Source organism: Homo sapiens, chromosome 1 (assembly GCF_000001405.40).
Source record: "Homo sapiens chromosome 1, GRCh38.p14 Primary Assembly".
Classification (NCBI taxonomy): Eukaryota; Metazoa; Chordata; class Mammalia; order Primates; family Hominidae; genus Homo; species Homo sapiens.
Window position 1 is genome coordinate 148082394 of NC_000001.11, and position 13748 is coordinate 148096141.

General features: G+C 44.5%; 1 pseudogene across 1 annotated transcript in view; it reads left to right on the plus strand.

Moving 5' to 3' along the window:
• PDE4DIPP1 (PDE4DIP pseudogene 1) overlaps positions 1-12384 on the plus strand; it is a 45476-nt pseudogene extending 33092 nt beyond the window's left edge. The window contains exons 5-8 of the transcript NR_146087.1: positions 7964-8107; positions 9190-9328; positions 9634-9806; positions 11345-12384. The product of NR_146087.1 is annotated as a PDE4DIP pseudogene 1 (transcript). The remainder of the gene's footprint in view (positions 1-7963; positions 8108-9189; positions 9329-9633; positions 9807-11344) is intronic.
• Positions 12385-13748: the final 1364 nt, after the last annotated feature.

Here is a 13748-nt window from a genome sequence, read left to right on the forward strand (position 1 = left end):
AGAGGGGACCCATTGACAGAGAAGGTAGCATTCTTCATTCTTACATTCATTCTTACATTATAAGAAGGGATATTGGCAAGATAATTGGTGTCCTCTTTTGGAAACCTCAATGTTCCCTCTGCCATTCCTGATTTTTGTGTGTCAGTGGGGTGGGGGGAGGGGCGCTTTGAGCAGAAGAAAGGACTTCTCTGGGAATGCCTTGTCACTCCCAAGTTGAGAGAGTAAAACTCTGTTATAGAAGTCTTCAGTATATCAGAGACATGAAAAAGAAGGGTCCCCATGCTTCCAATTAGATATAGGACATTAGTCTCACCATCACCTAGGAAGCTTCTATACTGGCTGTGATGCTTGGTCCCAGCATAAGCCCTGTAACTGCTTGTCAGGATGCAAAGAGCACTGTAGGAGCAGTAAGGAGACTGTGCTGGTGTGTCTGTTCTGCTCTGAACTAATGTAGGTAATGGTGTGTTTTCAAGCAAAGTTACTTGACCTCCCTCAGCCACCATTTCCACATCTGTGAAATAAAAGTGATGATCTTCCTGACCCCCTGAGTTGACATCTGGGGCTCAGAGGTAACCCTAACCGTAACCCTTTATGACCCTCTGAGTTGACATCTGGCTCTCAGCCTGTTGCTCTGGTGTGGCTGAGTGGCTCTGCCATCTCAGTGGGCCTTGCCTCTCCCTGGTCAGACTGAAGCACAAGCTGGTTCTCCTGCAGCAACAGTGTGAAGAGAAACAGCAGCTCTTTGAGTCCCTCCAGTCAGAGTTACAAATCTATGAGGCACTTTATGGCAATTCCAAGAAGGGGCTGAAAGGTATGTGTTCTTCTCCCCTCACCCCATGAGCTTTTTGCCCTTGCATAGGATGCTAGTGAGGTCTTTCCTTTGGGAGTTGTGGAGATCATGGGAAGCTACAGAGTTCTGTCTCAGAAACTCCCACCCGAGCCTGGGGCTCCCAATAAGAACTCTCATACACAAAGCCCAAGGTGACAGGTTGGTGACACGAACAAGATCCGGCCTGATCATTCCTAATTATTTTAAGAAAATCTAGACATTCCTATCAATGTCTAAATTATAACATTTTTGAAAGCAAAAGAACTGTCCTAATGATATCATCATTTGAAAAGGCCTTTAATATTGTCGGTGATACATACTGACAACCCATTCAGCCCAATGCAGCAGGCAGTCCGCTCCCACCCTGACCCTTTCCCTAGTGACATCTGGCGCTCAGCTTATTGCCCTCTCATGTAATTTTCATAAATCCTGATTTAGTTTCCTGATTTTCTAAAGAGAAGGTGAACTGGAATTTGAAGAAATACAGGGGCTTACCAGGCTGAGCGAATAGCTTAAGTACAAAGTCATGGTGAGTGTTGAGTCAGTGGGGACCAGCCTGCCCACAGGAGAAAATTAAAAGACACGAAAACAAAAAACCCTTATAGAAATACCACTGATAGGACCTAAATTTCAATCCTGGATTTAAATATTAAGGACATTTATTGAAGACTTTGTTGCCTGCTGAAATAATAATCTAATATTTGAGAATTTGATATATTTCTTCATTCTTTAAATGGAGAAGGGTATTCAAAACATAATGTGAATAAGTCACAGCAGGCTGGGACAGAGGACTGACATCAATGTCATGAAATTTAGCAAAGATAAAAAGCAAAATCCTGAGCTCGATTAAAAATATCAGTGGTAGAAATATAGGATGAGGGTAGAAATATAGGACAGGCGGCCATTCGTGGACTTGAGAGTATGGGGTTTGGTAGAAACATGATCACACAAGTAAGTCATAGGCCAGAGGTTGCTAGAAATGCCAGCTCAAACTGACACTACAGTAGTGTAAGTGTGATGTTCACCTGTGGAGACCATGGTCTAAAATATTGTTAGATTAAGGGGCACTATCTTTGAAAAGGGCATTGACACACTAGGGAACATAATGAAGACAGGGCGCACAATGGTGTGGACCAGAAATCTCCAACTGGTCAAAGAAACTAAAGAAATGTAGGCTTTCAAAAGATCTTGAGGACATGAGAACTGGCTTCGGATATTTGAAGAAGTGTCAGGTGAAAAAGAACTCATGTATTTTATGTCCCTCCAGGGGGCTAAACAATGCGTGAAGGGCAGTGGAATTTAGATTGGAATTATCATAAATCCTGATTTAGTTTCCTGATTTTCTAAAGAGAAGGTGAACTGGAACTTGAAGAAATAGAGGGGGCTCACCAGGCTGGGAGAATAGCTTAAGTACACAGTCATGGTGAGTGTTGGGTCAGTGGGACCAGCCTGACCACAGGAGAAGCTTGGGGTTGGGGGAGTGAGAAGTCAGGATGGTGGAGTAGAGCCACCAAACCGTGAAAGCTCACAGGTCAGGGTGAAAGTTGACATTCTGTAGAGTAGATAATGAAACTAAGTCTATTCTTTTTCAAAGAAGATAAGCATATGATGAAAACAGAACTTTAGGATGCTAAGTCTCAGGGGATGTCCTGGAATTGGGAGACATTAGAATCTGGGAAACCTATTGGGTGGGTCTAGTGATATTGTGACACATTAAGAGATGACAGTCTAATATAAGGTGCTGTTGGGAAGATGAAAGGGTATAGATAGATTTTAAAATGTCTCTTAAAAAAATAAGCAAAATTTAGTGAGAACTTGGATTGAGAAAGAGAGAGAGGAACATCATAAAACTTCGGGCAAAATTCAAGAGTAGATTACTTACCAAAGTCTCTGAAACGACTTCATCCTGAGCTCCCTTTCCTTTCATGCTTTTCTCCCTGCCTTTTAGGACTCATTTCAAAGCTACAACCACTAAAGCTCCATAATCCCTTATCTGTAATTTCAAAATTCAATACGATCTCCAAACTAAATTTTTCAAATACTCATTTAGTGACAAAATCTAGATGATCTGACATGAGGATATTCATAAGTCTTTATTTATCTACTTAGGATATTCACATAGCTCATTGCAGAAATAGTTATATGTTTGATTAAGGATTGTGGTTCACCTGCAACTGGGTACATGTTATATATGATATATGCACCCTGTTGCCTTGCTAAAAACTAAAACAAATTTTACCTTTCGAAATACATTTGGCCTTAAGGTTTTCAGATAAGGGATTGTAGCCTTGTAGAATATTTCTTAGATCTCTTCATCCCCAGTACAAAGAAATAGACTACATGTGGTGAATGGAGGTAAATATATGTACATATATATATTTGTATATATATGTATCTGTATATATGTGTGTATATATATGTACATGTATATATGTACATGTATACACCTATATATAGTATGTATATACACACACAACATATATATACACACTATATGTAGGTGTATATATATGTACACACACATACACACACACACACACACACACACATATATATATATATATATATATATATATATATATATATATATATATATATGAGAGAGAGAGAGAGAGAAATTGAAAAACTCAGTTATAATCCCTGGTCTAATGTGCCCAACTCGCATTCTCACATGCTACCAAAAGGCCTCCTCCTTCTCCTCTTTCATTTTTGAGAGTGAAGACTGTGAAATCTCTTTCTCCCTCATCCCCTACCCTTCTCTAGCTCAGTACTGACGTTCTACCTTGGAGGACCCTATACTTTAGCCTACAGGACTAAGGTTACTATGGAGATGAAATATGGACTTATCCTTATCTGCCAATCAAATGCTCTATAGGTGCATGTGTGTAACTTAAACCGCAAGGAAGTTTCAGACTGGATGTGTGCCATCTCAGTGCCATCCCCCGGCCACACACAGAAATGGTGACATCTCCATCACAGATGGGTTGCATGAGACTCAGATGATAGTGGGGTCCTTGGCAGAAAAGAATGTCACAGAGGAGGGTTCTGACAAGTGCTTGGAAATACTTGGGTCAATGTTACCAGACTCCTCTTCTCTCTTAGCTTACAGCCTGGATGTCTGTCACCAAATCCCTTTGAGCAGTGACTTGAGCCACCTGGTGGCAGAGGTATGAGGTCTGAGAGGGCAGCTGGAGAAGAGCATTCAGGGGAACAATTGTCTGTGACTGCAGCTGCAACAGCAGCTGGATAGCCTGCTGGCAAAGCCAGCCTCAGCCCCTCCTCTGTTAACCAGAACTTCCCAGCCAGCGCTGACCCTGGAAACAAGCAGCTGCTCCTCCAAGGTAGGAAGGAAAAGGGACTTAGAAAGCCCTTGGCCAGTGGGGAGATCACCAGGATGTCTGCCTGGTCCATGCTCCTTATGGTCAGGTTGAAATCAGAGATGCTCTAGTCTAGCAGCCTGAGTGAAAGCGTGGGATTTAGGTCAGACTGGGCTCCAGATTCTGAGTTTACCGCTTAGAGGTCGTTTGATTTGGGCAAGGTGTTTAAAGTCTCAGAGGTTTAAGCCTTAGTTTCCTTACATTTAAGATGAGGATAATAATAATATATACCTTATATGATTTTGACCATTAAATGAGATCATTTACAAGTGCTTGGCACACTAAGAATTGCTCAATAATTAGCAGCTGTATATGTTCATATCTTTTTCTTGGATTTGCTTGGTGCTTTAGTTTTAGCCAAGTGTTTTCACATATATAATTTCACCTGAAGTAAAGCAGGTTTTGCTATCTCTGTATTTCACATGAGAAAATTTAGGTCCTGAGATATTAACAGACAAGCGAGGCTTTAGAGAAGTTATAGACAAAGCCAGGATCAGAACCAGATGTTGTGATTTTCAGTCTGTGTTCCTTCCAGCTCATTGTGCCCTGTCTCAGTATTGCCGACCTTCCCAGATTCTCTAGTCCCCCTTTCCCTCACAGGTGGGGAACTCAACTGTGTGGCAAAATGTTCCTGCCCCTAAGGAAACAGGGCTCTGGGGAAGTCCTGGATGGTGGGTGATTTATTTCGGGCGGTCATCATTCGCTTTCTCTACCCCACCCCTTGCCTGCCTTTTCAGATAGGCGTGTTTGACCAGGTCCCCCTTCTCTTCTCAATATCCCCCATCAATCTCACTTCTCCCAGTTTTCATTGAAATGTCAATGGTGTCCCCCTAGTCTCTTAAATCATTCAATTTCTACTTCCTCTGTCCTTTTCTCCTTTTGATACACCGTTTAGTACACCATCTCCACTCACCTCCATGGCCATACCTTCAATTTTATTCAAATCAGGAACCACTTCTGTTCAGTTTCTCTAAAGCTGAGCTTTCAAACTCTCCTGCCAGCTATTTCTGGGTCATGTTAATCTTTATTTTTCTCTGGTTCTTGTAGATGCTCATTTATCTGACAGTAACCTTATTTGTCAAATGAAGGTGACAATAACATGATTATGCTGTTTTCAGCTTACATTAGGTGGATGCCTTGCCCTTCTCTGGGCTGCCCTGATGGTTGTGGTGTTCAGTGATGTCTCCAACTCTTCCTTCTTTCTAACCAGGCCTTCCTCTCTCTCTGGCTTCCCACACAGCAGCCAAGACTCAGCCCCACTGGTGCAGTCCCTGCCCATCTTTCTCTAGCACCCCTGAGGCCTGAGCTGGAAAGCAGGCACTGGGCCACACTTGCCTGAGTAGGACCTTTTCTACCTTCTTTGTGATATTTTCCAATTCCTCCACCATAGGGTTGCTTTTTAGTCTCCAGCAAGATGTTAACCCACCAAGCCCTCTCTCTCCGTTCTTCTCATACAAGTCAATTTCTTTCAGTATTACCTCATCAGAATGATGACTAGAATGTTGAGTTTAGTCCCCCATGAATCCATTCATTCCTTGATCCCTTGATTCTAGATTTTAATATGTACTATGTATATTTATACATATTACATTTAGTTACGGGGCATCGTATTAGATACCACACACAAATTATACTCAAGACTTGGTTTATAAAAATACACCTAATAATTTTTCAAACTAGAAGTTACATTCTCCTGGAACACCCCTCCTTTAAAGGAATATCTTTTTGTTCTGAAGAATGGAAACATTCTGAACTCAGTGACTCATGGGCTTTTGCTTTTGCTTGTGGGGTATGGATAATTCTGTAAGAGGAGAGTCCTGCCACCTTAGGTCTCAGTGGGGACGGCTAGGTGTGCATGTGCTTCATGTGCAGTGTGTTCCAGGGCTCCTGAAAACTGTGGTTGCCTTTACCCCCTAGATTCAGCTGTGTCCCCTCCAGTCCGGGATGTTGGTATGAATTCCCCAGCTCTGGTCCTCCCCAGCTCTGCTTCCTCTACTCCTGGCTCAGAAACGGCCATAATCAACAGAACACATGGTAAATATGGCAACTAAAGGGCCCAGGGACTGATGTTGGAAAGTGATTAATGCAAACAACCTTTTGTTGTCTCTAAACATATTATCTGTATTTAGAGAGTTTTCTCTGCATGCCCCAAGGCCTTTAGCCCTACTCCCTGCACCTTCTGTGGCTGCCTTTCTTGCCATTGTTCATCCTCCTGTAGTTTTCCTACTGCTGTTTTTGCTTCATTGCACCATAATCTCTCTATTCTTGAAAATGCTCTCTGTATCCAGCTTGACTTCCCTGTCTGTGTCTTCTCTACCCAGAAACTTATTATTTATGATTCATCCTATTTCATTTGCCAATAAGGAAAAAATTGTCTCCTGGCAAATTTATCATTAAAAGATAATGTAAGAAAGGTTATAAAAATATAGAAGCCAGAAGATCTCTATGGACTTTGCCCCACCCTTGTACATTCCAAGGCTTCCTTTCTTGTTCCCAGCCTCGTCCTTTTCTTGTTCCCTGCCTCTTTTTTAGTTGGAGCAAACTGAGGATATCATTATGAATAACAGAAGATTCTGTTGTGTTGTCATTTTCTTTTTCAGGCTTGGGTTTGGATACTTCTCCAGTAATGAAGGCCCCTCCCAAGCTGGAGGGTGATGCTACTGATGGCTCCTTTGCCAATAAGCATGGCCGCCATGTCATTGGCCACATTGATGACTACAGTGCCCTAAGACAGCAGATTGTGGAGGGCAAGCTGCTGGTCAAAAAGATAGTGTCTCTTGTGAGATCAGCGTGCAGCTTCCCTGGCCTTGAAGCCCAAGGCACAGGGGTAATCACACCTGAAGCTTTAGGTGCACTCTTTTCTTGTGCCCTTTCTTCCTTTGATGTTAACTCCTTCTCCCACCATTTTTGTTTTTTCATGCTTTGCATCTCTCAACAGCTGAGGCTTCCTCTTCCATGCATAGCAGCCAGGCCCTTTCTTCTCTATCTCCTATTTTCACTGTGAGTTCTGCTCTGTTCCAGATGTAGCTGACTGGATATTTCCCCTCAGCCCCACAGAAACAGGTGGCATTGCCTAGCAGCCTTTGGTAGCTTATTATCTACCACAGTCATGCAGGCACATGACCATATGTGGGCAGAGTCAACTCAATGGGATGGACAGAAACTGAAGGATTTGCAGGTGTATGGCCCCCACATGTGGAAGGGGTGAGAAGCCTGGCAGCCAAGGCATTTCCTTGTGCAGACTGCATAGGGGAGGGAAGGCAGTCAGCGAAGCTTCTGAGAGCACCTTGCCAGTGAGAGAGACCAGGAACCTGTGGCTATGCTGTCTGAGCTGCTGGAGACCCATGGATGCATAGGGACAGCCCTGCCTCCATGGAGCCCCCACACTGGAATGCAAGACACACACCCAAGTAGATAAGCACAGTACGGGGCTACAGGCGCAGTATGAGAAATCATCCTCTGTGCTGTGAGAGCACCAATGCAAATGTGGTCATTTATCTCAGGCAAGGAAGGTAACAGATTCATAGAGGACATAGCAAGGGGGGTGAGTTTTGAAAGCCTTGTGGGTTCTGCAGGTGGAGGAAGGCATTCCTGGTAAAAGGAGCAGCACCTTAGTTCTGAGAGCTGCAAATGGTTGTGCGAGGGCTTCACAGGTTCAAGCAGGCCCATGTTCTGCACCTCACTCACAAAGGAAGCTTGAGCCCACGCAGGGGGAAAAAAGTAATCTCTCCGCTCCTGTGGTGTTACCTTTCCCCAGGTGCTAGGCAGCAAAGGCATTCATGAGCTTTGGAGCAGCACCAGTGCCCTGCACCATGCCCTAGAGGAGTCGGCTTCCCTCCTCACCATGTTCTGGAGAGTGGCCCTGCCAAGCACCCACATCCCTGTGCTGCCTGGCAAAGTGGTAAGACGCCAGTGTCCTTTCTTGGTTCAAACCCAGTTCTCCTGCCCTCCAATACTGTTCTGTCTCCTCAGTGTCACAGCTTTTCCAGAAAATCAGGAGCCACACAGTGAATTGGGATAGACAGGAACTTAGAGGAGTGTCCCTGGAGGGACATCTCTGACCCTTGGTGGCTGCTTTCATTGCAGCTCTAAATACATCCCATTCCCCACCAGCCCCCTGACCCCTGGATAAGAAATCAAAGAAGAGGAGGAAGGAGTGTGGAGAAGGCGGAGACATCATAACCCTGGCAATCCATAAATGTTCAGTTTCTTTACCTCTCTGAAGTTTGGATGAGCTGAAATTCAGTTAAAGCTTTAGCACATCTCCCACCCCACAGGTCCCGTGGTCAAATGATCACAGAATGCCCCCATGAGACTGAGCCTTTTTAGCCACTGCCTGGAATCCCAACATACAACTTAAGCTGGCATTGCTGGACCAGGCCTGGGGAAAGTCAGCCTCCCCTCAGGATCTGCTCAGAGCTCAGGCTAACTCTGATTGGCAGACCCTCATGTAGGCAGGTTTCAGGATCCCCTCCCCAGGGATTCTACTTCCAGGTCAATGGCACCAATACCTTTTGGATCCAACTATGCTAATTCCAGGGAGAGGGTGTTGTGCCATCTTCATGTTGGCACAAATATTTACAAACTTGCAAACTTTCCTGAGTCCAGATCTCTCTCCCCAGCATAACACTTCTGAACTCTCAATCTTACCTGTGAAGGGAGAGTGACAGAACTGATATCAGGACTAAAGCAAGGTCCTCTTCAGAGTTGGGAGTTTGATACCAGCCTGAGGCGAGGTTCTCTTAAGCTACAGGTGTGTAGGCCTGTGCTAGTCTGCATGGGGAATTCCAGAGTCTCATTATTCCTGCCTAATGGCCTCATCCTAAACTGTCCTCAGCTGGAGGTATTCAAGGCTGTGAAGGAGGAAATCCAGTTCAGGAGGGTTGAGAAGATTGTAGAATCCTTTGAACTGGAAAGAGCCACAAAGCACAGGGTGCTTTATGTCTTCTGCCTGGTCAGTAAGAGTCTGTTCCTCTTATCCAGAGAGAATCGACAGAAAGGGAACTTCTAGAACTGAGAACCAAAGTATCCAAACAGGAGTGGCTCCTTCAGAGCACAGCTGAGCATCTGAAGATCGCCAACCAGCAGAAAGAGAGCATGGAGCAGTTCATCGTCAGCCAGCGTAGGTTCCCTGAGAGGGAATGGGGGAAGAAACGGGCAGTCTTCCCGATGCCCCACTTGTGCTGCTGATGAGCAGTGACTGGGGGGCTTGGGGATGTTGGGAGTTGAGGCTGATTTGATGTCCCCAAACCTCCTGTGCCCCGAGCAGTTGTGGATGCAGAGGGAGGGGAGGACAGGGGGTGGATAGCAGGAAACTCCAAGCTGAATGGCCAGAGAGAAATAAATGCTTTAGCATTCTCATGCTAAGCAAGTAGGGTTAATTTCTGCTGATGATTTCTACTCTGTGGTGCTCTTTTGTTGTTTCAGTAACCAGAACACATGATGTTTTAAAGAAGGCAAGGACTAACCTAGAGTTAAGGAAACTACTGCACCAGTCAGAGGCACCAAGCCTGTCCCCAACCCATCACCATCTGTTAGCAGATCTTGTAGGTGACGCTTGGCCTGCTTTCGCCTTCCAGGAGAAGATTTCCAGTCCACTTGTAAGATCACAGGTCCTCAGTGGGCTTCCTGCTAGTTTCTGTTCCCATCACCCTCCCACCCCATCAGCTCCTGCCCCTGTATCTTGGTTCACTCTCACATTGTCCTCATCTCTCCTTTTTACTCCAATTTTTCTTCGTTGATGCCAGGTCAGGAGACTGGAGAAATGCAATTCAGCTCACTCTGGAAGTCATTAGACATTTGGGAGTCTGCCTCTGAATGAGCTTTTGGTAGAGGGATCTTGAGGCCAGTTATGTGTTCTACTCTTCATGAAAAAGTAAAAGCAATTTGCAACCTAATAAACTGATTTCACTGCACACTCCTGGGTTAAGAACAGCAATTTGATTTTGATATTTCTTTAAGTAACACGACAAAAGAGATCTGTTGGGTCTCATTTGTCTAAAAGAGAATTTGTTAATAAATAACAACTGAACCTTCAGGGGAAAAATGTTATATATATATCAGACATTATCTACATTTACTTAAAACACTAAGTGTTTAATCATTCCCTAGGAATTGCTTTGAAGAAAAACTTGAGGTATATGAAATGGTTTAAAAATCAGAAACTAAACCTTTTAACGTGGACTTCAAAGCTTTGCCATAAGCAATTGAGCATATTCCTAGAAATGTTTCTAAACCATAACCTGAGAGAATGTTGATCTCCATAGTGTGAAAATGACTTGGGCCAGTTTAACTTGCACTTTTTTTTTTCTAAACTAATTCCGTTTTGTTTTTCTCTGATAATTCTTCTCTTTCCTGAGCCTCTTTAGAGCAGCACTTACAGGATTGCCTCTGTAAAGCCTTATTCCTGTCCCAGAAAAGGTAATCCAAAAAGTCTCTAGTATCCACTGAAAGGTAACCCAAATGTTTCTAGTATCCACTGGTTTTCTCCAGTGTGGAAGCTTTCCCCTCCACCTCCCACAGATCACTGGAAAGGACCAGAGGCCTCGGTCCTAATCCCTGGCTTATCACTAACTGGTGTGTGGCTTTGGCTTGTCCCTTAGTCTCTGTGAGACTGCTGCACCCTCACCTGTCAAAGATGGAACTGGACTTAGTTGAGCTCTGAGGTCCCTGTGGACTTGGCCCCTCCACATCCTCATTATGGCGACTGGACATAAACTTAACAGAGGACTTCCCTGCAGAGTGTCCTCTTCTTCCTACAACAGGCTGCTTCTATATGTGCATGTTTCATGCTAAGCACTTCTTTCTTGGGTGGAGATGACAAAGGCCCCTTTCTGCTGAGACAAAGTGATTTGGAGAGTCACTTGGCCCCTGAAGAGGGAGTGGTAGGATCCAGCCACCCAGTGTGCAGTGAATTGGAGCAGGGATCTCAGGACACAGGGAGGTGGGGAGGCTCCCCCTAACCTCGGGCACCTGTTGCTTCTCCAGACTGCAGTGCATGCTCTTAGCTCATCCTCTTAACTGGCTCTCACTGTGCTCCTGGCTTTGGTCACCCCATAGTTCTCACTCCAGCTTCGGGTAGCCATCAGTAGGGCCTGGCAATATACACTGATTTGGTTTGTTTTATGTTTGTCTGCAGGTGAAATCCCTAAGGGCTCTGCCATGTACTCCAGCCTTGTGACCCTTGCCTTCCAGGAACCATGCAAGAAGCGCAGCCACCGGAAGTCCTTAAAACAGCAGGAAAGGTTGGCCTGTCCCCCTTTTGTGCAGCTACCTATCTGCTGAGGAGCATCTGGGCCTCATTCCTCCAAGTCCACTGGAGGGTCCAGAAGAGGGAGTCAGAGTTGTATCCTGGTGGAGCTGGCAGAAAGGCAGAAAGCCTTTCTGACAGCTATGGAATACGATTAGCCAAGGTCCACTTGGCCCAGCACTAAGAAAAAGATGCGTAGTTTGCACAGAAGGTTTTGTGATCCTGCCTCTCAACAGCCCCAGCAGCTTGGGAACTAGCAAGAGCACATTTCTTGCCTCATCAGCTGTCCTGAGATGGAAAACTCAGTGAATATAGGACCCTGATTCTGATGAATGGGGCACGTGGTCCTATTGCTGGAGCTCCTCTGGCAGGTTCTAAAAGCACACTACGGAGCAGCGGTGCCCTGCCAGACACTGCTCGTGGGGGCTCAGTGAGCACTACTCACAGATCCACACCTGACCCTGTTGGGTCAAGTCAGGCTGGGTTTTGGTCTGCACTGTAGCACCTGCGTTCTTTGAGTTCACATCATGAATGTGGTGACTTCCCAGATACCATCTCAGGCTTAACCTAGCACATCCTATTTCTTTTCTTCTATGATATCCAAATTGGACTGACCTCACTTCAAATATCTTGTCCCATTTTGTCGTCCTATCTTACCTCGGGGAAATTGGGGACTGATGGCCAGACCAATTCTGTTGAAATTCTTGCATAGAGCAAACCTGTGCTCATTTTTAAGTGGCATGGGAGAGGCCCCCAGCCATAGTAAAGCCTAGTCTGTGTCTTCACAGTTTTGATAGAATGTGCTTGTGTGTATAGATGTATGATACAGATTTATTTATGTTGCTATCGCCATATATTGAAGGCCAACATAACTGGTGGACAGGGTGGGTGACAGAAAATGAAAGTCTTTTTGGTGATTATTAAAGCAAGATGTGTATAAAGAAATAAATAGTTTTTCTTTCACTGCTTTGTTTCCCATTTCTGCCCCAATTCCTTGACAGTATAAAGAACTGGAAAGAGAAAATGGGAAAGACAAACTGTGTTTAAGAAGTGCACAGTCTAATGCTTGAACTCTAACTTTAAAAGATTAAGGTTTTCCTTCTTTGTCATTTTGTAAGAATCCCCAGTCTGAAAATATGAAAGAATGGTTCTTAAACTTGGTGTACCTTAGAAGCAGCTGTGGAGATTATAGGAACTACCTCCTGGTCTCCAATCCCAGGAGATTTAGTTGGTGTGAGCCCTAGAATCTGCATTTTTTTAATATAAGCACCCCAGGTGATTCCATTACATGTGGGCTGCAGATAACAGTTTAAAAAAACAGTGTTCTATAACATTGAATCAAAACTAAAACTACATTTAAGAACCTTGAATCAAAAAGTATGTCATTCCATAAACATTGATATAAAAATTTTAAAATATTCCTTGGGAAAAGTTCTTAGCTACATGCTTTTGATCCCCAAGATTAAAATAAACGTATCACTTCACAATTATTTACTAGAAACATTTAAAAAATAAACAGGTAAAAGGTGGAGTAAGATGGTAGAATAGAATTCTCCAGCAATGGTCTCCCTGAAGGAACATCAAATTGAACAACTATCTATGCAAGAAAACACTCTCACGAGGGCTAACCAGGTGAGAGATCATAGCACCTGGTTTTAACATGATAACAAGAAAAGATGCATTGAAGAAGGGAGGAAGGACAGTCTTGCATTGCCTATGACACCTCTCCCCCAACCACAGGAAATTCTCTGAGAGAGAATCTAATGGCTTGGGGACAAAGAGGAAAATGTGGGACTTTATATTGAAACTTAGTCTTGCCATAGTGACACATGACACTGGACAGAACCCCACAGCACTTGATTCCAGGCTGGTGCCCACAAAAGAAGCATTTAGACCCACCCTGGGCCACAGGGGAATCAGCTACCCCAGGAGGAAGAACCCACCAAAATTCTGGCCAGCTTTATCACTGGAAATTTATTGGGCTACAAATAAATTTCAGTGGCAGGCAGGCTGTAGTGGCCGCAGTCCTTGGGCAAGCCCTGATGCTGCATAGGTCTGGAACACCCTGGACTTGTGGTGTGAGCCAGTATGACGGCAGCAGCTGCAGCAGCTATGGAAATGCCTGTATCACACCTCCCCACACTCCAGGCAGTGCAGCCTGAAGAGAGATTCCTTTTGCTTGGGGGAAAGAAAGGAAAGTAAGCTAGGGGCTTTACCTGGGAATGCAGAGAATAATCCCTGATCTTTCCCAAGTCCACAGGGCTGGAGACCTAACAATCTGTAAGAATTGCAG